Source organism: Homo sapiens, chromosome 10 (assembly GCF_000001405.40).
Source record: "Homo sapiens chromosome 10, GRCh38.p14 Primary Assembly".
In the NCBI taxonomy this organism is placed as follows: domain Eukaryota; kingdom Metazoa; phylum Chordata; class Mammalia; order Primates; family Hominidae; genus Homo; species Homo sapiens.
Window position 1 is genome coordinate 18,617,685 of NC_000010.11, and position 22,604 is coordinate 18,640,288.

The 22,604-nt window shown below is 40.3% G+C and overlaps 1 protein-coding gene across 21 annotated transcripts in view, besides 1 other annotated feature; it reads right to left on the reverse strand.

Annotated features, from left to right (window-relative positions):
• The window catches only part of NSUN6 (NOP2/Sun RNA methyltransferase 6), a 113,767-nt gene that overhangs the window by 72,124 nt on the left and 19,039 nt on the right, over nucleotides 1-22,604 (reverse strand). The window contains exon 1 of one of the 21 annotated variants that reach the window (XM_017015912.3): nucleotides 4,636-4,808. The exons of the other annotated variants lie outside the window; for them this stretch is intronic. The gene's annotated coding sequence lies outside the window, so the exon portion shown is untranslated. Of the gene's footprint in view, nucleotides 1-4,635; nucleotides 4,809-22,604 lie in introns of those variants that run through there. 21 annotated transcript variants of the gene reach the window in all.
• Nucleotides 10,014-10,223: an enhancer, noted in NCBI's record as "active region_3113". NCBI's record gives its function as "activates an Ori minimal core promoter by ATAC-STARR-seq in GM12878 lymphoblastoid cells {active_cell/tissue: GM12878}" and the evidence as "EXISTENCE:reporter gene assay evidence [ECO:0000049][PMID:35858748]".

A 22,604-nucleotide genomic window follows, 5' to 3' on the forward strand; every position in this document is an offset into this window, starting at 1 on the left:
AGATGCCTCAGTGTTACGGTCTGGATGTGTCCCCCAATATTCATGTGCTGGCAACTTAATCCCTAGTGCAACAGTGTTGGAATATGAGGCCTATTGGGAGCTGTTCAGGTCATGAGTGCTCTGCCCTCATGAATGAATTAATGCTATAATAAAAAGGGCTTGCAGCAGTGAGTTTGCTTTCTCTTGCCCTTGTGCCCTCTACCATGTACAGATGCAGCAAGAAAGCCCTCACCAGATGCAAATGCCTCGATCTTGGACTTCGTATCCTCCAACACTACAAAAAACAAATTTATGTTCTTTATAAATTATCCAGTCTCAGGTATTCTGCTATAGCAGCAAAAAATAAACTAAGACACTCAGCGTCATCTTAAAGTCCTCCTAAGCCTTCACATTGATTGATTTAGGAATCAAGCTATCTTCTAGTTCTGATAGGTTTTGTGGGCGTATCTCCTGATGTTGGACACATATCTCTTTGTGATTACTGAAATAGCTTCCTGCCTTTTACCACTGGTTTCAGATTTTCTCTGTCTTTGGTGTTCTGCAACTTCACTCTGAAGTATGTAGACATGAATCTACTTTTACTTTTGGCTTCAAGCTCACACTTCTTAAATTTTTCATCAGTGATAGAAATTCATGGTCATTACACTTGTGATTATTGTCTTTCCCCCATTATTCCTATTCTCTATACCTGAGACTCATTAAAAATATAAATGCTGGTCAGGTGCAGTGGCTCACACCTGTAATCCCAGTACTTTTGGAGGCTGAGGTGGGTGGATCACATGAGGTTGGGAGTTCAAGACCAGCCTGACCAACATGAAGAAATCCCCGTCTCTACTAAAAATACAAAATTACCCAGGCATGGTGGCGCATGCCTGTAATCCCAGATACTTGGAAGGCTGAGGCAGGAGAATCACTTGAACCCAGGAGGTGGAGGTTGCAGTGAGCCGAGATGGTGCCATTGCACTCCAGCGTGGGCAATAAGAGCAAAACTCCATCTCAAAAAAAAAAAAAAAAAAAGAAACGTAAAGTGCTTTTTCATGACTCAATTTCACTTTCATATTTTTAATTTCTCTCTGCTGCATTCTAGATAATTTCCTAAGAGTCATCTCCTAATTCAAAAACTTTCTCATCAGTTGGGTCTAATCTGCTGTTTAATTCATTGTATGAGTTTTTAATTTTAATGATAATTTATTTTTAGAAATTTGTTTTCAATTCTACCTTTTTATCCTTAGGGTCTTTTATGTTTTACTCTTTCATTTTTAATCATTTTAAGAAAACTGTTTTGTCTACAGCCATATCACTCTGAACATGCCCGATCTCAGCTGATCTTGGAAGAAAACTGTTTTTATAGTCTATGCCAGAGAGGTCTATTTGTTAAAAGTTCTGAGGGAAATCCAATCCTGCAGCTTATTATATATGCTGATTCTTACTCATAGTGGTTTGATTCCCAGTGTAGCTTTTAACAATGCCAAGTGTTTGGCTTGGACTGAATGAGTGCTGCTCCAGAGTGGTGTCACTTAGTTTTTGCCAAGTACCCAGGAATTGGCTTGGGACCAAACAGTTAATTTCCCAGTTTGCAGGTTCCAATTTAGGTTGCAGCAATTTGCATTCCAGACCTTTATGACGGAGGGAACTTACGGCTGCGCATTCTCAGAAACACATTTTTCTCCAACCTATATCCTAAGGCAAGAAAGACCTACTTTTAATTACTGCCTTGTAATGACTACTGGGTATTTCTCACCCTTACTATTAACACTTAATTGTTTAAACCAAAGACCCTAAATTTAGAAGAAAGACCACCTCCTTTCCCATACCTTCAACCCCCCAATAATAACTCACATGCTTGCTGTTCTCTTTTCAATTATTCTGCATTCCTAACCTCTAATATATCAACTACATTTTTAATCACTCAACTACATCATTTTGTGGCCTACTATGTTCTTTTTTACTTAGCACTCCTCGGTGTATGTAGCAAAAACATCTTCATGTTATCTAATTCACCATACATATTATTGAAGCTAAAAAACTCGGAAATACTTTTCTAACTTTTCTCCAGGTTTGCAATTCAACTTTTGAAAAAATTTCTGAAACTTTTGACTGTCAGTTGATGTAAGAAACACACTTGATAAAAGAACTTATTTCAAGTTTTTATATCATTTGAGATCTTGATATAAGAAACTACACATACATGTCTGTGTGTGTGGTATCACACATAACATTTCATTAAATATTTTTACTATGTGCGATGCAATATATTATAAAACATCCCTTTTTTTTTAAATATTCATTGAAAACATTAAATTGATTTCACAAGTTACTAATGGGTCATGATCTCCAAGCAGTTTGGAAGACCACTACCACTATTATATTTCTAAAATACACATCTAATTTTTACTAATAAAAAAAATTTTTTTTTTTTTTGAGACGGAGTCTAGCTCTGTCTCCCAGGCTGGAGTGCAGTTGCGCCATCTTGGCTCGCTGCAAGCTCCACCTCCCGGGTTCACGCCATTCTCCTGCCTCAGCCTCCTGAGTAGCTGAGACTACAGGCACCCGCCACCATACCCGGCTAATTTTTTGTGTTTTTAGTAGAGATGGGGTTACACCGTGTTAGCCAGGATAGTCTCGATCTCCTGACTTCGTGATCCGCCCGCCTCGGCCTCCCAAAGTGCTGGGATTACAGGCATGAGCCACTGCGCCCGACAATAAAAATTCTTTAGCTTCTTAAGTCTATGAAAAAAAAATTCCTTGGTACAAAAAAATCTTCATACTTCATATCTGCCTCTCCCAACTTCTTCAGTTTCATCTTTCACCCATCCCCCAACTCTGAAAACAAATAGCCAAACCTGATCACTTTTATCAGCAGCCACCAATGTTTCATGCATTCATGTCTTTCCTCATGCCTTCTCTCTGCCTAGCATAACCTTGCCCACCTTAACAGCCCTTCGGCCTAATTTCTCCTCACCTTCAAGACTCAAATGAAATAATATCTGCTTAGAGAAAATATTTAACAATTTCTTTGTACTCAGTCCTTCCTATTCTATGCTCCAATAGCATTTAATTTATACTTCTACTGTGACTATCATAACAGTCTGACTTGTACCAAAGTCTCCTGACTTTAGACTATAGAACTATGTCTCATTCATCTTTGTAACACCATCACATCTCACATATAGCACAAATTCAAAAACATGTTTTGTGGAAGTGAAATCTGTAGTGTTAGATTTTATGAAAATAACATGGAGGGGAAAGGATGAATTCTGGAACAGAGAACTGTGCAGAAAAAAGTTAACATAGTAGGCCTGATCTGTTATCTTTGAAAAGCCTGCTTACAAGGCTGGCCCTTGACTGACATCTGGGAACTGAGATTTCAGGAGGTTTACTTATTAACTGCTAAGAGTGGCTCACTGTGCCTGAATTATTGAACAAACTATGATTTATAGTAAATACCAGCTTTCCTTCTGAGAATCCAGAATGTGGGTATGTACCAGGCAGTGGGAATCTACATGATGAGCCCTGAATAGGAATCCTGGCAGTGAGTCTCATGTGGTCACAGCTCAGCACTGGGGGACTTCCTGTGGGAGTCCTGTGTGACTCCCCTGGAAGAGGACTCTGGAAGCTTGTGATGGTTTTCCCTTTGCTGATTGTGCTTCATATTCTTTCACTGTAACAAATCATAGCCGTAAGTACAAGTATGTGCTGAATTCCCTAATTCCTCTTAGAGAATCACAGAACCAAGGAATGGTCTTGGGGATCCATAGACACCAGGACTGACAATATAAAAACACAGTATGTCATATGCAAGTATCAATATTTAAGTCAGCATTGTTGAAAGGGAGTTTTTACTAGGAAAACTAAAAGAGCAAACGTAAAAGTTGGTGCAAGGCCATAAAATATGCTAAAAGCTTGATTTTTATTGAAATGTTTCCAAATAGAGTGCATCAACAACATTAAAGAAAGATTACGTTCCAACAGTTTAGTAATATAGGTTGGAGAAAAAAACTATAAATACACCTAGATTGAGAGAAAAGTATTAGAATAGCTAAAAAATGAAGTAGCTAAGGAATTAAAAACAGATTATGGGAATGTCCTGTTAAGGAATCTAAAATCATGTATTTTTATCTATTTGGTATTTTAACTGCACATATTCACAACCCTACACATACTAACAACCCTACACCAAATGGAAGGTGATGGATGAAACTGTGAAACAGCACATGATATTGCTGCATGCCAAATACTTCTTTGCAGCAGGACTGCCACCTTTATTTAATCAGTAGTCCTTGTGCAACAGCATTTCTTAAATATTCTATTGCAATAACCCTATTCACACATATATATATATATATACGAATGACACACACACACACACACACACAGACACACACACACAAAAATTGAAATCTTAAAGTGCTTGTTATGGATGGAATATTTGTGTCCCCAAAATTCACATGCTGAAACCCGAACTCAATGTGATGGTATTTGGAGAAGTCTTCAGGGGTAATTAGTTATGAGGGTAGAATGCTCATAAATGGGATCAGTGCCTTTATACGAGACCAAAGAGCTACCCACTTGCTTTCTGCAATGTGAGAATACAATGAGAAGTCAGCTATCTGCATCGCAGAAGAGGGCACTCACCAGAACCCAAGCATACTGGCACACGTCGTGGATTTCCAGCCTCCAGAACCATGAGAAACAATCTAAGACAGTACTGACATGAGTGACAAGGCAACTACAAAAGATGGAAATCAGCTGCGCACAGTGGCTCATGCCTGTAATTCCAGCACTTTAGGAGTACGAGGTGGGCAGATTACCTGAGGTCAGGAGTTCGAGACCAGCCTGGCCAACATGGTGAAACCCTGTCTCTACTAAAAATACAAAAATTAGCTCAGCGTGGTGGCAGACGCCTGTAATTCCAGATAGGAGGCTGAGGCAGGATAATCGCTTGAACACGGAGGTGGAAGTTGCAGTGAGCAGAGATCGTGCCATTGCACTCTAGCCTGGGCAACAAGAGCAAGACTCCGCCTTGGGGGGAAAAAGATGGAAATCGAGTAGGCTGAAAGAGAAGACAAATCCAGTCTCATTTGGATTTCAAGAGATTTATGCTGTTGAATTACATATTCAATTGTGAAAGAAAGGAAGAAAGTTAATGTTCTAGCCTGCTTGAACTATTTTGAGACTTATCAAAAAGGGAGGAGCATTAATTGAGAGAATACAGAAATTCTTTAAAATTACCAATTGGTTTTTGGCCTAAAAAGTTCTACTGATCCAAATGTAGCCTTTAGAAAACGCTGGTTGAGAGATGTTTTAAAGGCTCTTGTATCAAGACAAGTCTGGCATTCCGTTTTCTCCTGAAGTCATTAAATTACCAGACAAAAATCATCTTCCAGAAATTAAAATATATTTCACCAGTACATGAAACCTCATTTTAAGTAAACTGAAGAAAGCAAAATTTTATTTTAAATTTCATTTGAAATTTTATTTTACATCTCATTTTAAGTAAAGTGAAGAAACCAGTAATTCAGTGATGCATTACTTTTAAAATTGTTTACTGTATATAAAGTTTAACTGATGCATTTATAATGAAAATAACTGTGATATTGAGCTTCTACTAAAAAATCAGAGGAAGAAAACTCCTTTTTCTAAATCCCATGGCAATGAAAGGGGGGGAAAAGAATAAAAATCTGAGGAGAAAATTCCATTTGCAATAAAACTAAGAAACAGCTATAATTGCGATGATGAGAAAAAATTGGCTGACAGTGAACTTTGAGCCAAACCTAGTTTCTCAGCACGGTGTGGAGTCTCTGAAAAGGAGAGGCTCCTGGAGGCTTAATCAAACATTTATTACTTAGGACCAGGACCACAGGCTTAGTGGAAAAGAAATCAGAATCTAGGAATGTCTTACCAGTATCCTGTTCAGAGGAGACAAGTGTGAAAGAAGAAATGGATTGTCAGAAATGGCATAACCAGACAATGTGTTATTTTCTCTAACAAACCTGATCAACTGCCAAAAAGCAGCCCAGGAAAGAGAAAAGAAATAGCAACCAACTTTGCTGCTCATGACTTAAGTTATCTAAGCAGAGATTAAATGAAAAAGAAAGCCTTCCCCACCCTCTGGAAAAAAGGTATGAGCTAAAGCCTTCACAGAGAGCCTCGGCTCTGCTCACCAGGACTAGAGAAAAGCCAGCAGAGAAGATTTGCAGTACTTCCCAGAAAACTTATCTGACTAGTCCCATAGGCATGCTCTTTCCCCCATTCTGGATCCTTCTTGAGCAAACTGCAAATGAGGATGTAACTGTTTCCATTCAATGCATGATAAGCAGAAATAATTCATTCTGCATTCATTGGTGGCACACACATACACAAAAAGCAGAAGGTAGATTTTAAAAATGTAAACCAAACAAAAGGAAAAATAATTCAAGTACCACTGTATTTTCAGAGAAATTAAAGGAAAAACCTCAAAAAAGGGATAAAAGAACAAAGATGAAAGTAAACTAGCAGCTAAGAAAATAAAGGACAATAAAACTTCTGAATAAGGATTTACAAGCAGAAAGAGGTAATACATCCCTATGACTAGATAGTATTTTCAATCCCCATTTTAGAGATAAGAAAAGCAAAGCACAGACAAGATAAAACTTATCTCCTATACTATTGACAAGAGAGCCACTTTGAAACAGAGCCAAAGTGACCAAGACAGGCCTAACAACAAATGGGCTGGGTGCGGTGGCTCATGCCTATAATCCCAGCACTTTGGGAGGCTGAGGAGGGTGGATCACTAGGTCAGGAGATTGAGACCATCCTGGCTAAAAAAATACAAAAAAAAAATTAGCCGGGCATGGTGGCAGGTACCTGTAGCCTACTAGGGAGGCTGAGGCAGGAGAATGGCGTAGACCCGGGATGTAGAGCTTGCAGTGAGAGCTCCTGGCACTGAACTTCAGCCTGGGAGACAGAGCGAGACTCTGTCTCAAAAAAAAAAAAAAAAAGAACGAATGCGGAAGAAAAAGATCAGTGAATGGAGTTGAAGAATATGTTAACAGAAAAAAAAAATTAAAGTAACAGGCTTGAGACTGCGGTTCTTAGAAAGGGTTGCTTGAGAGGATGGGTCTTGGCTAGCTAAGCAGCTAGAAACTGGAATGAGTTCCCAGCAGTGACATAAAACCTTCCCTAATGATAAATAAGAGTGGCTCACAATTCCTAAACTCTGTACAAGCAAGGTACAAACACATGTTTATTCGGAGCACCTGCTTTCCTTTCGGGAGTCTGGGAATTTCGGTACATGCTACGCAGAGGGTGCCTATGTGACCAGCCCAATAAAACCCTTGGGCACCAAGCCTCTGATGAGCTTTTCTTCTAGACAACTATTTTACATGTCACAATTAGGTGCTGGAGGAATTAAGCATGTCCTATGGGACCTCACTGAGACAGCCTGTGTTTGGTTTCTTCCAAACTTCACCCCATGCCTCTTTTCCCTTGCTGGTTTTGCTTCTGTATGCTTTCATGTAATAAACCATAGCCATTGGTGTGACCGTATGCTAGGTTCTGTGAGTCTTAGCCAATCACTAAACCTGAGGGCTGTCTTGGGAATCTCTGATGCAGGTAATATCTGTGCCAGAAACACAGCACACAAAGTCCTGCTGTCTTTATAAAAGAGAATACAGAAAATGTAAGAGAAAAATATTCAAAGAAATAATGGAAGACCTATATAACTGAAAAGCTACACTGTGTCTCATCAAAAGCTAAGAGGAAATAGGCTGAGTGTGGTGGCTCACACCTGAAATCCCAGCACTTTGGAAGGCCGAGGTTGGTGGATCACCCGATTCAAGAGTTTGAAGACCAGCCTGACCAACATGGTAAAACTCCGTCTCTACTAAAAATACAAAAGTCAGCCGGGTATGGTGGTGGGCACCTGTAATCCCAGCTACTCCGGAGGGTGAGGCAGGAGAATCACTTGAATCCGGGACGCAAAAGCTGCAGTGAGCCGAGATCGCGCCACTGCACTCCAGCCTGGGTGACAGAGTGAGACTATGTGTTTTTTTTTTAAAAAAAAAAAAAAAAAAAAAAAAAAAAGATAAAGAACTAAGAGGAAATAATCAAAATCAAGCATTACACTGGCTAAATGTCTAAAGTTGAATAACTAAGAATTCCACAGATCTCCAATCAAAAGACAACGTACTGTTAAAAGGAAAAGTTTTTGGTGGGCCTTAGATTTCTTCACAATAACATTTAATGCCACAGGTTATAAAAGCAATGTCTACAAAGTGCTAAGGGAAATACTATGTGGCCTGAAACGACCAGACTCAGCCAACTTGTTTTATAAACAAAAAGGCAACAGGCAGACATTCTCAATCAAGAAAGTAACGCAGTACGTAAGAGTCACACTTTGGGAAAGGGCAGGGGGTGCGGGAGATCTGCTAAGTGACTGTACTCACCAATAAAGACATTAATAAAGATAAGAAATGAGAAATAAACTGTGCCATAAGGACCGAAAGCAAACACTGCATCCATGTGAATTATACTTGGGAAATAACAATGTTACAAAGCTTGACAATGTTTAAAAAAAAAAAAACAGAAAAACTGGCCAGGCATGGTGGCTCCTGCTTGTAATCCCAACACTTTGGGAGGCCGAGGAGGGTGGATCACTTGAGCTCAGGAGCTCGAGACCAGCCTGGGCAACACGGCGAGACCCCATCTCAAAACAAAAATAAAAAAACAGTAAATACAAATTAGCTGGTAAAATTTTAGGGAAAATTTAACTCCAGTAATCTCCTCATTTCTCATAATGGAAAGTCAAAAGAGACTTAATGGGCCGGACACAGTGGCTCACGCCTGTAATCCCAGCACTTTAGGAGGCTGAGGCAGGCAGATTACCTGAGATCAGGAATTCGAGACCAACCTGGCCAACATGGTGAAACCCTGTCTCTACTAAAAATACAAAAATTAGCTCAGCGTGATGCCAGACGCCTGTAATTCCATATACTCAGGAGGCTGAGGCAGGATAATCACTTGAACACGGAGGTGGAGGTTGCAGTGAGCCGAGATCGTGCCATTGCACTCTAGCTTGGGCAACAAGGGCAAGACTCCGTCCTGGGTGGGGGAAAAAAAAAGATGGAAATCGAGTAGGCTGAAAGAGAAGACAAATCCAGTCTCATTTGGATTTCAAGAGATTTATGCTGTTGAATTACATATTCAATTGTGAAAGAAAGGAAGAAAATTAATGTTCTGGCCTGCTTGAACTATTTTAAGACTTTTATCAAAAAGGGAGGAGCACGAATTGAGAGAATACAGAAATTCCTTAAAATTACAAATTGATTTTTGGCCTAAAAAGTTCTACTGATCCAAATGTAGCCTTTACAAAATGCTGGTTGAGATGTTTTAAAGGCTCTTTTATCAAGACAAGTCTGGCATTCAGTTTTCTCCTGAAGTCATTAAATTACCAGACAAAAATCTTCTTCCAGAAATTAAAATATATTTCACCAGTACCTGAAATCTCGTCTTAAGTAAACTGAAGAAACCAAAATTTTATTTTAAATCTCATTTCAAGTAAACTGAAGAAACCAGTAATTCAGTGATGCATTACTGTTAAAATTGTTTACTGTATATAAAGTTTAACTGATTCATTTGTATTTTAAATAACTGTGATATCGAGCTTTTAGTAAAAAATCAGAGGAAGAAAACACCCTTTTCTAAATCCCATGGAAATGAAAAGGGGAGAAAAAAGAATAAAAATCTGAGGAGAAGAATAGGAACAGCTCCGGTCTACAGCTCCCAGCGTGAGCGACGCAGAAGACGGGTGATTTCTGCATTTCCATCTGAGGTACCGGGTTCATCTCACTAGGGAGTGCCAGACAGTGGGCGCAGGTCAGTGGGTGCGCGCACCGTGCCCGAGCCAAAGCAGGGCGAGGCATTGCCTCACTCGGGAAGCACAAGGGGTCAGGGAGTTCCCTTTCCTAGTCAAAGAAAGGGGTGACAGACGGCACCTGGAAAATTGGGTCACTCCCACCCCAATACCGCGCTTTTCCGATTGGCTTAAAAACCGGAGCACCAGGAGACTATATCCCGCGGCTCGGAGGGTCCTACGCCCACGGAGTCTCGCTGATTGCTAACGCAGCAGTCTGAGATCAAACTGTAAGGCGGCAGCCAGGCTGGGGGAGGGGCGCCAGCCATTGCCCAGGCTTGCTTAGGCAAACAAAGCAGCTAGGAAGCTCCAACTGGGTGGAGCCCACCACAGCTCAAGGAGGCCTGCCTGCCTCTGTAGGCTCCACCTCTGGGGGCAGGGCACAGACAAACAAATAGACAGCAGTAACCTCTGCACACTTAAATGTCCCTGTCTGATAGCTTTGAAGAGAGCAGTGGTTCTCCCAGCACGCAGCTGGAGATCTGAGAACGGGCAGACTGCCTCAAGTGGGTCCCTGACCCCTGACCCCTGAGCAGCCTAACTGGGAGGCACCCCCAAGCAGGGGCAGACTGACACCTCACACGGTCAGGTACTCCAACAGACCTGCAGCTGAGGGTCCTGTCTGTTAGAAGGAAAACTAACAAACAGAAAGGACATCCACACCAAAAACCCATCTGTACATCACCATCATCAAAGACCAAAAGTAGATAAAACCACAAAGATGGGGAAAAAACAGAGCAGAAAAACTGGAAACTCTAAAAAGCAGAGCACCTCTCCTCCTCCAAAGGAATACAGTTCCTCACCAGCAATGGAACAAAGCTGGATGGAGAATGACTTTGAGGAGCTGAGAGAAGAAGGCTTCAGACGACCAAATTACTCCGAGCTACGGGAGGAAATTCAAACCAAAGGCATTGAAGTTGAAAACTTTGAAAAAAGTTTAGAAGAATCTATAACTAGAATAACCAATACAGAAAAGTGCTTAAAGGAGCTGAGGGAGCTGAAAACCAAGGCTCGAGAACTACGTGAAGAATGTAGAAGCCTCAGGAGCCAATGTGATCAACTGGAAGAAAGGGTATCAGCGATGGAAGATGAACTGAATGAAATGAAGCAAGAAGGGAAGTTTAGAGAAAAAAGAATAAAAAGAAATGAGGAAAGCCTCCAAGAAATATGGGACTATGTGAAAAGACCAAATCTACGTCGATTGGTGTACCAGAAAGTGACGGGGAGAATGGAATCAAGTTGGAAAACACTCTGCAGGATATTATCCAGGAGAACTTCCCCACTCTAGCAAGGCAGGCCAACATTCAGATTCAGGAAATACAGAGAACGCCACAAAGATACTCCTCGAGAAGAGCAACTCCAAGACACATAATTGTCAGATTCACCAAAGTTGAAATGAAGGAAAAAATGTTCAGGGCAGCCAGAGAGAAAGGTCGGGTTACCCACAAAGGGAAGCCCATCAGACTAACAGCAGGTCTCTTGGCAGAAACTCTACAAGCCAGAAGAGAGTGGGGGCAAATATTCAACATTCTTAAAGAAAAGAATTTTCAACCCAGAATTTCATATCCACCCAAACTAAGCTTCATAAGTGAAGGAAAAATAAAATCCTTTACAGACAAGCAAATGCTGAGAGATTTTGTCACCACCAGGCCTGCCCTAAAAGAGCTCCTGAAGGAAGCACTAAACATGGAAAGGAACAACTGCTACCAGCCACTGCAAAATCATGCCAAAATGTAAAGACCATCAAGACTAGGAAGAAACTGCATGAACTAACGAGCAAAATAACCAGCTAACATCATAATGACAGGATCAAATTCACACATAACAATATTAACTTTAAATGTAAATGGACTAAATGCTCCAATTAAAAGACACAGACTGGCAAATTGGATAAAGAGTCAAGACCCATCAGTGTGCTGTATTCAGGAAACCCATCTCATGTGCAGAGACACACATAGGCTCAAAATAAAAGGATGGAGGAAGATCTACCAAGCTAATGGAAAACAAAAAAGGCAGGGGTTACAATCCTAGTCTCTGATAAAACAGACTTTAAACCAACAAAGATCAAAGGAGACAAAGAAGGTCATTACATAATGGTAAAGGGATCAATTCAACAAGAAGAGCTAACTATCCTAAATATATATGCACCCAATACAGGAGCACCCAGATTCATAAAGCAAGTCCTGAGTGACCTACAAAGAGACTTAGACTCCCACACATTAATAATGGGAGACTTTAACACCCCACTGTCAACATTACACAGATCAACGAGACAGAAAGTCAACAAGGATACCCAGGAATTGAACTCAGCTCTGCACCAAGCGGACCTAATAGACATCTACAGAACTCTCCACCCCAAATCAACAGAATATACATTTTTTTCAGCACCACACCACAGCTATTCCAAAATTGACCACATACTTGGAAGTAAAGCTCTCCTCAGCAAATGTAAAAGAACAGAAATTATAACAAACTATCTCTCAGACCACAGTGCAATCAAACTAGAACTCAGGATTAAGAACCTCACTCAAAACTGCTCAGCTACATGGAAACTGAACAACCTGCTCCTGAATGACTACTGGGTACATAACGAAATGAAGGCAGAAATAAAGATGTTCTTTGAAACCAACGAGAACAAAGACACAACATACCAGAATCTCTGGGACACATTCAAAGCAGTATGTAGAGGGAAATTTATAGCACTAAATGCCCACAAGAGAAAGCAGGAAAGATCCAAAATTGACACCCTAACATCACAATTAAAAGAACTAGAAAAGCAAGAGCAAACACATTCAAAAGCTAGCAGAAGGCAAGAAATAACTAAAATCAGAGCAGAACTGAAGGAAATAGAGACACAAAAAATGCTTCAAAAAATCAATGAATCCAGGAGCTGGTTTTTTGAAAGGATCAACAAAATTGATAGACCGCTAGCAAGACTAATAAAGAAAAAAAGAGAGAAGAATCAAATAGATGCGATAAAAAATGACAAAGGGGATATCACCACCAATCCCACAGAAATACAAACTACCATCAGAGAATACTACAAACACCTCTAAGCAAATAAACTAGAAAATCTAGAAGAAATGGATAAATTCCTCAACACATACATTATCCCAAGACTAAACCAGGAAGAAGTTGAATCTCTGAATAGACCAATAACAGGAGCTGAAATTGTGGCAATAATCAATAGCTTACCCACCAAAGAGTCCAGTACCAGATGGATTCACAGCCAAATTCTACCAGAGGTACAAGGAGGAACTGGTACCATTCCTTCTGAAACTATTCCAATCAATAGAAAAAGAGGGAATCCTCCCTAACTCATTTTATGAGGCCAGCATCATCCTGATACCAAAGCTGGGCAGAGACACAACCAAAAAAGAGAATTTTAGACCAATATCCTTGATGAACATTGATGCAAAAATCCTCAATAAAATACTGGCAAACCGAATCCAGCAGCACATCAAAAAGCTTATCCACCATGATCAAGTGGGCTTCATCCCTGGGATGCAAGGCTGGTTCATTATACCCAAATCAATAAATGTAATCCAGCATATAAACAGAACCAAAGACAAAAACCACATGATTATCTCAACAGATGCAGAAAAGGCCTTTGACAAAATTCAATAACCCTTCATGCTAAAAACTCTCAATAAATTAGGTATTGATGGGACGTATCTCAAAATAATAAGAGCTATCTATGACAAACCCACAGCCAATATCATACTGAATGGGCAAAAACTGGAAGCATTCCCTTTGAAAACTGGCACAAGACAGGGATGCCCTCTCTCACCACTCCTATTCAACACAGTGTTGGAAGTTCTGGCCAGGGCAATTAGGCAGGAGAAGGAAATAAAGGGTATTCAATGAGGAAAAGAGGAAGTCAAATTGTCCCTGTTTGCAGATGACATGATTGTATATCTAGAAAACCCCATTGTCTCAGCCCAAAATCTCCTTAAGCTGATAAGCAACTTCAGCAAAGTCTCAGGATACAAAATCAATGTACAAAAATCACAAGCATTCTTATACACCAACAACAGACAAACAGAGAGCCAAATCATGAGTGAACTCCCATTCACAATTGCTTCAAAGAGAATAAAATGCCTAGGAATCCAACTTACAAGGGATGTGAAGGACCTCTTCAAGGAGAACTACAAACCACTGCTCAAGGAAATAAAAGAGGATACAAACAAATGGAAGAACATTCCATGCTCATGGGTAGGAAGAATCAATATCGTAAAAATGGCCATACTGCCCAAGGTAATTTGTAGATTCAATGCCATCCCCATCAAGCTACCAATGACTTTCTTCACAGAAGTGGAAAAAACTACTTTAAAGTTCATATGGAACCAAAAGAGAGCCCACATCACCAAGTCAATCCTAAGCGAAAAGAACAAAGCTGGAGGCATCACACTACCTGACTTCAAACTATACTACAAGGCTACAGTAACCAAAACAGCATGGTACTGGTACCAAAACAGAGATATAGATCAATGGAACAGAACAGAGCCCTCAGAAATAATGCCGCATATCTACAACTATCTGATCTTTGACAAACCTGAGAAAAACAAGCAATGGGGAAAGGATTCCCTAGTTAATAAATGGTGCTGGCAAAACTGGCTAGCCATATGTAGAAAGCTGAAACTGGATCCCTTCCTTACACCTTATACAAAAATCATTTCAAGATGGATTAAAGACTTAAACGTTAGACCTAAAACCATAAAAACCCTAGAAGAAAACCTAGGCATTACCATTCAGGACTTAGGCATGGGCAAGGACTTCATGTCTAAAACACCAAAAGCAATGGCAACCAAAGCCAAAATTGACAAATGGGATCTAATTAAACTAAAGAGCTTCTGCACAGCAAAAGAAACTACCATCAGAGTGAACAGGCAACCTACAAAATGGGAGAAAATTTTCACAACCTACTCATCTGACAAAGGGCTAATATCCAGAATCTACAATGAACTCAAACACATTTACAAGAAAAAAACAAACAACCCCATCAAAAAGTGGGCGAAGGACATGAACAGACACTTCTCAAAAGAAGACATTTATGCAGCCAAAAGACACACGAAAAAATGCTCACCATCACTGGCCATCAGAGAAATGCAAATCAAAACCACAATGAGATGCCATCTCACACCCGTTAGAATGGCAATCATTAAAAAGTCAGGAAACAACAGGTGCTGGAGAGGATGTGGAGAAATAGGAACAATTTTACACTGTTGGTGGGACTGTCAACTAGTTCAACCATTGTGGAAGTCAGTGCAGTGATTCCTCAGGGATCTAGAACTAGAAATACCATTTGACCCAGCCATCCCATTACTGGGTATATACCCAAAGGACTATAAATCATGCTGCTATAAAGACACGTGCACCCGTATGTTTATTCCGGCATTATTCACAATAGCAAAGACTTGGAACCAACCCAAATGTCCAACAATGATAGACTGGATTAAGAAAATGTGTCACATATACACCATGGAATACTATGCAGCCATAAAAAATGATGAGTTCGTGTCCTTTGTAGGGACATGGATGAAATTGGAAATCATCATTCTCAGTAAACTATGGCAAGAACAAAAAACCAAACACCGCATATTCTCACTCATAGGTGGGAATTGAACAATGGGAACACATGGACACAGGAAGGGGAACATCACACTCTGGGGTCTGTTGTGGGGTGGTGGGAGCGGGGAGGGGGGAGGGATAGCATTGGGAGATATACCTAATGCTAGATGATGAGTTGGTGGGTGCAGCGCACCAGCATGGCACATGTATACATATGTAACTAACCTGCACAGTGTGCACATGTACCCTAAAACTTAAAGTATAATAATAATAAATTAATTAAATAAAATAAATAAATAAAATCTGAGGAGAAAATTCCATTTGCAATAAAACTAAGAAACAGCTATAATCCCGATGATGAGAAATAACCGGCTGACAGTGAAATTTGAGCCAAACCTAGTTTCTCAGCAGGGTGTGGAGTCTCTGAACAGGACAGGCTCCTGGAGGCCTAATCAAATTATTACTTAGGATCAGGACCATGCACTTAGTGAAAAAAAAATCAGAATCTAGGAATATCTTGTCAGTGTCCTGTTCAGAGGAGTCAAGTCTGAAAGAAGAAATAGATTGTCAGAAATGGCATAACCAGACAATCTGTTGTTTTCTCTAACAAACCTGGATCAACTATCTAAAAGCAGCCCAAGAAAAGAGAAAAGAAATACCAACCAACTTTGTTGCTCCTGACTTGAGTTAACTAAGCACAAATTAAACAAATAAGAAAGCCTTCCCCGCCCCCTGGAAAAAAGGTATGAGCTGAAGCCTTCACAGAGACCCTCGGCTCTGCTCACCAGGACTACAGATGAGCCAGCAGAGAAGATTTGCAGTACTTCCCAGAAAACATATTTGATTAGTCCCATAGGTATGCTCTTTCGCCCATTCTGGATCCTTCTTGAGCAAACTGCAAATGAGGATGTAACTGTTTCCATTCAATGCATGATAAGCAGAAATAATTCATTCTGCATTCATTGGTGGCACACACATACACAAAAAGCAGAAGGCAGATTTTAAAAATGTAAACCAAACAAAAGGAAAAATATTTCAAGTACCTCTGTATTTTCAGAGAAATTAAAGGAAAAACCTCATAAAAGGGATAAAAGAACAAGGCAAACTAAACCAGCAGCTGAGAAAATAAAGGACAATAAAACCTCTGAATAAAGATTTAGAAGCAGAGATAAGTAATACATCCCTATGACTAGACAGTATTTTGAATCCCCATTTTAGAGACAAGAAAAGCAAAGCACAGACAAGATAAAACTTATCTCCTATACTATTGACAAGAGAGCCACTTTGAAACAGAGCCCATGACCAAGACAGGCTTAAGAACAAACCGGGCCTGGTGGCTCACGCCTATAATCCCTGCACTTTGGGAGGCTGAGGAGGGTGGATCACAAAGTCAGGAGATTGAGACCATCCCGGCTAACATGGTGAAACCACATCTCTACTAAAAAAAATACAAAAAAAAAAAAAATTAGCTGGTCTTGGTGGCAGGTGCACGTAGTCCTAGCTACTAGGAAGGCTGAGGCAGGAGAATGGCCTGAACCCAGGAGGCGGAGCTTGCAGTGAGCTCCTGCCACTGCACTCCAGCCTGGGTGACAGAGCGAGACTCTGTCTCAAACAAACAAACAAAACAAAACAAAACAAAAAACAAACGAATGCAGAAGAAAAAGATCAGTGAATGGAGTTGAAAAATGTGTTAACAGAAAAAAAAAAGTTAAAGTAACAGGCTGGAGACTGCGGTTCTTAGAAAGGGTTGCTTGAGAGGATGGGTCTTGGCTAGCTAAGCAGCTAGAAACTGGAATGAGAAACAGTTCCCAACGGTGACATAAAACCTTCCCTAATGATAAATAAGAGTGGCTCACAATTCCTAAACTCTGTACAAGGTACAAACATGTTTATTCGGAACACCTGCTTTCCTTTTGGGAGTCTGGGGATTTTGGTATGTGCTACGCAGAGGGTGCCTATGTGACCAGCCCAATAAAACCCTTGGGCACCAAGCCTCTGATGAGCTTTTCTTCTAGACAACTATTTTACATGTCACAATTAGGTGCTGGAGGAATTAAGCATGTCCTATGGGACCTCACTGAGACAGCCTGTGTTTGGTTTCTTCCAAACTTCACCCCATGCCTCTTTTCCCTTGCTGGTTTTGCTTTTGTATGCTTTCATGTAATAAACCTTAGCCATTAGTGTGACTGTATGATAGGTTCTGTGAGTCTTAGCCAATCACTAAACCTGAGGGCTGTCTTGGGAATCTCTGATGTAGGTAATATCTGTGCCAGAAACGCAGCACACAAAGTCCTGCTGCCTTTATAACAGAGAATACAGAAAAGGTAAGAAAAAATATTCAAAGAAATAATGGAAGACCTATGACTGGAAAGCTACACTGTGTCTCATCAAAAGCTAAGAGGAAATAGGCTGAGTGTGGTGGCTCACATTTGTAATCCCAGTACTTTGGGAAGCCAAGGTGGGTGGATCACCTGAGTTCAGGATTTCGAAGACCAGCCTGGCCAACATGGTAAAACTCCGTCTCTGCTAAAAATACAAAAATTAGCCAGGTATGGTGGTGGGCACCTGTAATCCCAGCTACTCGGGAGGCTGAGGCAGGAGAACCACTTGAACCCGGGAGGCAGGGGTTGCAGTGAGCCGAGATCCTGCCACTGCACTCCAGTCTGGGTGACAGAGTGAGACTCTGTGTTGTTGTTTTTTGTCGTTTTTTTTAAAAAAAAAAGACAAAGAAGAACTAAGAGGAAATAATCAAAATCGAGCATTACACTGGCCAAATGTCTAAAGTTCAATAAGTAAGAATTCCACAGATCTCCAAGCAGAAGACAAGGTACTGTTACAAGGAGGAAAAGTTTTTGGTGGGCCTTAGATTTCTTCACAATAACATTTGATACCACAGGTTATAAAAACAATGTCTACAAAATGCTAAGGGAAATACTATGTGGCCTGAACAACCAGACTCAGCTAACTTGTTGTATAAACATAAAGGCAACAGGCAGACATTCCCAATCAAGAAAGTAACGCAGTACATAAGAGGTAACCTTCGGCAAAGGGCAGGGGGTGCGGGAGATCTGCCAAGTGACTGTACTCACCAACAAAGACATTAATAAAGATAAGAAATGAGAAATAAACTGTGCCATAAGGACTGAAAGTAAGCACTGCATCCATGTGAATTATACTTGGGAAATAACATGATATAAAGCTTGACAATGTTAAAAAAAAAAAAAAAAAACTGGCCGGCCATGGTGGCTGGCACTTATAATCCTAGCACTTTGGGAGGCCAAGGAGGGTGGATCACTTGAGCTCAGGAGTTCGAGACCAGCCTGGGCAGCACAGCAAGACCCCATCTCAAAAACAAAACAAAACAAAAAACAGTAAATACAAACTAGGTGGTAGGAATTTTAGGGAAAATTTAACTCCAGGAACCTCCTCATTTCTCATAATGGAAAGTCAAAAGAGACTGAATGGGCTGGGCACAGTGGCTCATGCCTGTAATCCCAGCACTTTGGGAGGTGGAGGCGGGCAGATCACAAGGTCAGGAGTTCGAGACCAGCCTGGCCAATATGGTGAAACCCAGTCTCTATTAAAAATACAAAAATTAGTCGGGCGTGGTGGCACACGCCTGTAGTCCCAGCTACTCGGGAGGCTGAGGCAGAACTGCTTGAACCTGGGAGGCGGAGCTTACAATGAACCAAGGTCACTTCACTGCACTCCAGCCTGGGCGACAGACCAAGATTCCATCTCAAAAAAATAAAAATAATTAAAAATATATATACTTAATAAAAATCAGGAGTTAAAAAAAAAAAAAAAGGAATTGACTTTTTTTTTTTTTTTTGAGATGGAGTTTCAGTCTTATCGTCCGGGCTCCAGTGCAATGGCGAGATCTCAGCTCACTACAACCTCCACCTCCTGGGATCAAGCGAGTCTCCTTCCTCAGCCTCCCAAGTAGCTGGGATTATAGGCATGCACCACCACACCCAGATAATGTTTGTATTTATAGTAGAGACAGGGTTTCACCATGTTGCTCAGGCTGGTCTAAAACTCCTGGCCTCAGGTGATCCACCCCCCTGGGCCTCCCAAAGTGCTGGGATTACAGGCGTGAGCCACCACGCCCGGCCTCTTTTCAGGAATGAAATGTAGGTATGTGAATTTACAATCCTAAATAATTTTTTCAAGCTTCCCTGCAATAGCTCACCATTTGTATTTTATACATTCACTTATGTTCTGATGAGTAGCCTAGATCACTACAAAGAACAGAATGAAAGGATGATTAAAGCCACATAAAAGTAAGTATTGAAAATAATTTAAAGTTAAATCATCCATATATTTTAGAGAACTAAAATGGCCAGTACTGGCAAGAATGAAAGCATCAAAATCTCTCATATACTGCTGAAACAAACTGGTAAAACTTTGTAGAGGGTAATCTGGTAATATGTCTCCAACTAAAATAAGCACAGACCTTTGAACTGGTTATTCTGTGTCATATCAGTTTGTTCTGCAGACATGCTTATGCAAGTCCACAAATATTGACTCCAACACTTCCGGTAATAATGAAAAACAGGAAAAAACTAAATGTCTATCAATGGAGGATAGAAAATTTAAACTGAGCTAAATGATAAAACATACTGTTAATGTAGCCATTAGAAAGAATGAAATAGTGTTATATAATTGTGAGACGATATCCATTATATATTTTTAAGTGAACACAAAACAAATTGCAGAATATTATCATCTTTTCTATTTTCTAAAAATGAGTACAAATGACTGTACATGTGCATTCATGTATGCAGATGTAAGCACAGAGACAGTTCAGAAAATATCAAATTGGATGCTCAGAGAAACAAAATTGGGAGGTGGGACAGGAGACGTAACAGATGATTACTTTTATATTTATGTACAACTCTAGTTTTCACTTGCTTCTATAAAGAAAAACCTAAGTGAACTATCTTTAGGAAAACTAAATAAAACTAAAGAATAAAGAAGAGGTGTTTAACATAATAAGAAATGGCAAAAGTTGGCCAGGTGAGGTGGCTCACACCTGTAATCCCAGCACTTTGGGAGGCTGAGGTGGGTGGATCACCTGAGGTCACGAATTTGAGACCAGACTGCCCAACATGGAGAAACCCCATCTACTAAAAATACAAAAAATTAGCTGGGCATGGTGGCAGCTGCCTGTAATCTCAACTACTCGGGAGCATGAGGCAGGAGAATCACTTGAACCCAGGAGGCGGAGGTTGCAGTGAGCCAAGATCGTGCCACTGCACTCCAGCCTGGGCAACAGAGTGAGCCTCCATCTCAAAACAAAACAAAACAAACAAAAAAGAAGAACTAAGAGGAAATAATCAAAATCAAGCATTACACTGGCCAAATGTCTGAAGTTCAGTAACTAAAAATCCCACAGGTCTCTAAGCAAAAGACAAGGTACTGTTACAAGGAGGAAAAGTTTTTGGTGGGCCTTAGATTTCTTCACAATAACATTTGATGCCACAGGTTATAAAAACAATGTCTACAAAGTGCTAAGGGAAATACTATGTGGCCTGAAACAACCAGACTCAGCCAACTTGTTGTATAAACATAAAGGCAACAGGCAGACATTCTCAAGTAAGAAAGTAACGCAGTACATAAAAGGCACACTTAGGGAAAGGGCAGGGGGTGCGGGAAATCTGCTAAGTGACTGTACTCACCAACAACGACATTAATAAAGATAAGAAATGAGAAACTGTGCCATAAGGACTGAAAGCAAGCACCACATGTATGTGAATTATACTTGGGAAATAACAATGTTATAAAGCTTGACAATGTTAAAAAAAAAAAAAAAAAAAAAAACTGGCCGGCCATGGTGGCTGGCACTTGTAATCCTAGCTCTTTGGGAGGCCGAGGAGAGTAGATCACTTGAGCTCAGGAGTTTGAGACCAGCTTGGGCAACACGGCGAGACCTCGTCTCAAACAAACAAACAAACAAAAAACAACAACAGTAAATACAAATTAGCTGGTAGGAATTTTAGGGAAAATTTAACTCCAGGAACCTCCTCATTTCTCATAATGGAAAGTCAAAAAGAGACTTAATAGGCCGGGTGCGGTGGCTCACACCTGTAATCCCAGCACTTTGGGAGGGTGAGGCAGGCGGATCATGAAGTCAGAAGTTGGAAACCAGCCTGGCCAATATGGTGAAACACAGTCTCTACTAAAAATACAAAAATGAAGCCAGGTGTGGTGGCATGCGCCTGTAGCCCCAGCTACTCGGGAGGCTGAGTCAGGAGAACTGCTTGAACCTGGGAGGGGGAGGTTGCAGTGAACCAAGGTCACATCACTGCACTCCAGCCGGGGTGACAGACTTGAGACTCCGTCTCAAAAAAAATAAAAACAAAAAAATTTTAAAAACAGATACTTAATAAAAATCAGGAGTTAAAAAAACAAAAAGTAATTGACTTATTCTTTTTAAGAATGAAAGGTGGGTATGTGAATAATTTTTTCAGGCTTCCCTGCAATAGCTCACCATTTGTATTTATACATTCACTCATGTTCTGATGAGTAGCTTAGATCACTACAAAGAACAGAATGAAAGGATGATTAAGGCCATGTAAAAGTAAGTATTGAAAATAATTAAAGTTAAATCATCCAAATATTTTAGAGACCTAAAATAGCCAGTATTGGCAAGAATGAAAGCATCAAAATCTCTCATACACTGCTGAAACATTAACTGGTAAAACTTTGTAGAGGGTAATCTGGTAATATGTCTCCAACTAAAATAAGCACAGACCTTTGAACTGGTTATTCTGTGTCATATCAGTTTGTTCTGCAGACATGCTTATGCAAGTACACAAATATTCACTCTAACACCTCTCGTAACAATGAAAAACAGGAAAAAACTAAATGTCTATCAATGGAGGATTGAAAATTTAAACTAAGCTAAATGATAAAATATACTGTTCATGCAGCCATTAAAAAGAATGAAATAGTGTTACATAATCGTGGAACGATATCCATTATACATTTTTAAGTGAACACAAAAGCAAATTGCAGAACATTGTAATCTTTTCTATTTTCTAAAAATGAGTACACATGATTACGCATGTGCATTCATGTATGCAGCTATAAGCACAGAGACGGTCTATAAAAAATCAAATTTGATGCTCAGAGAAAC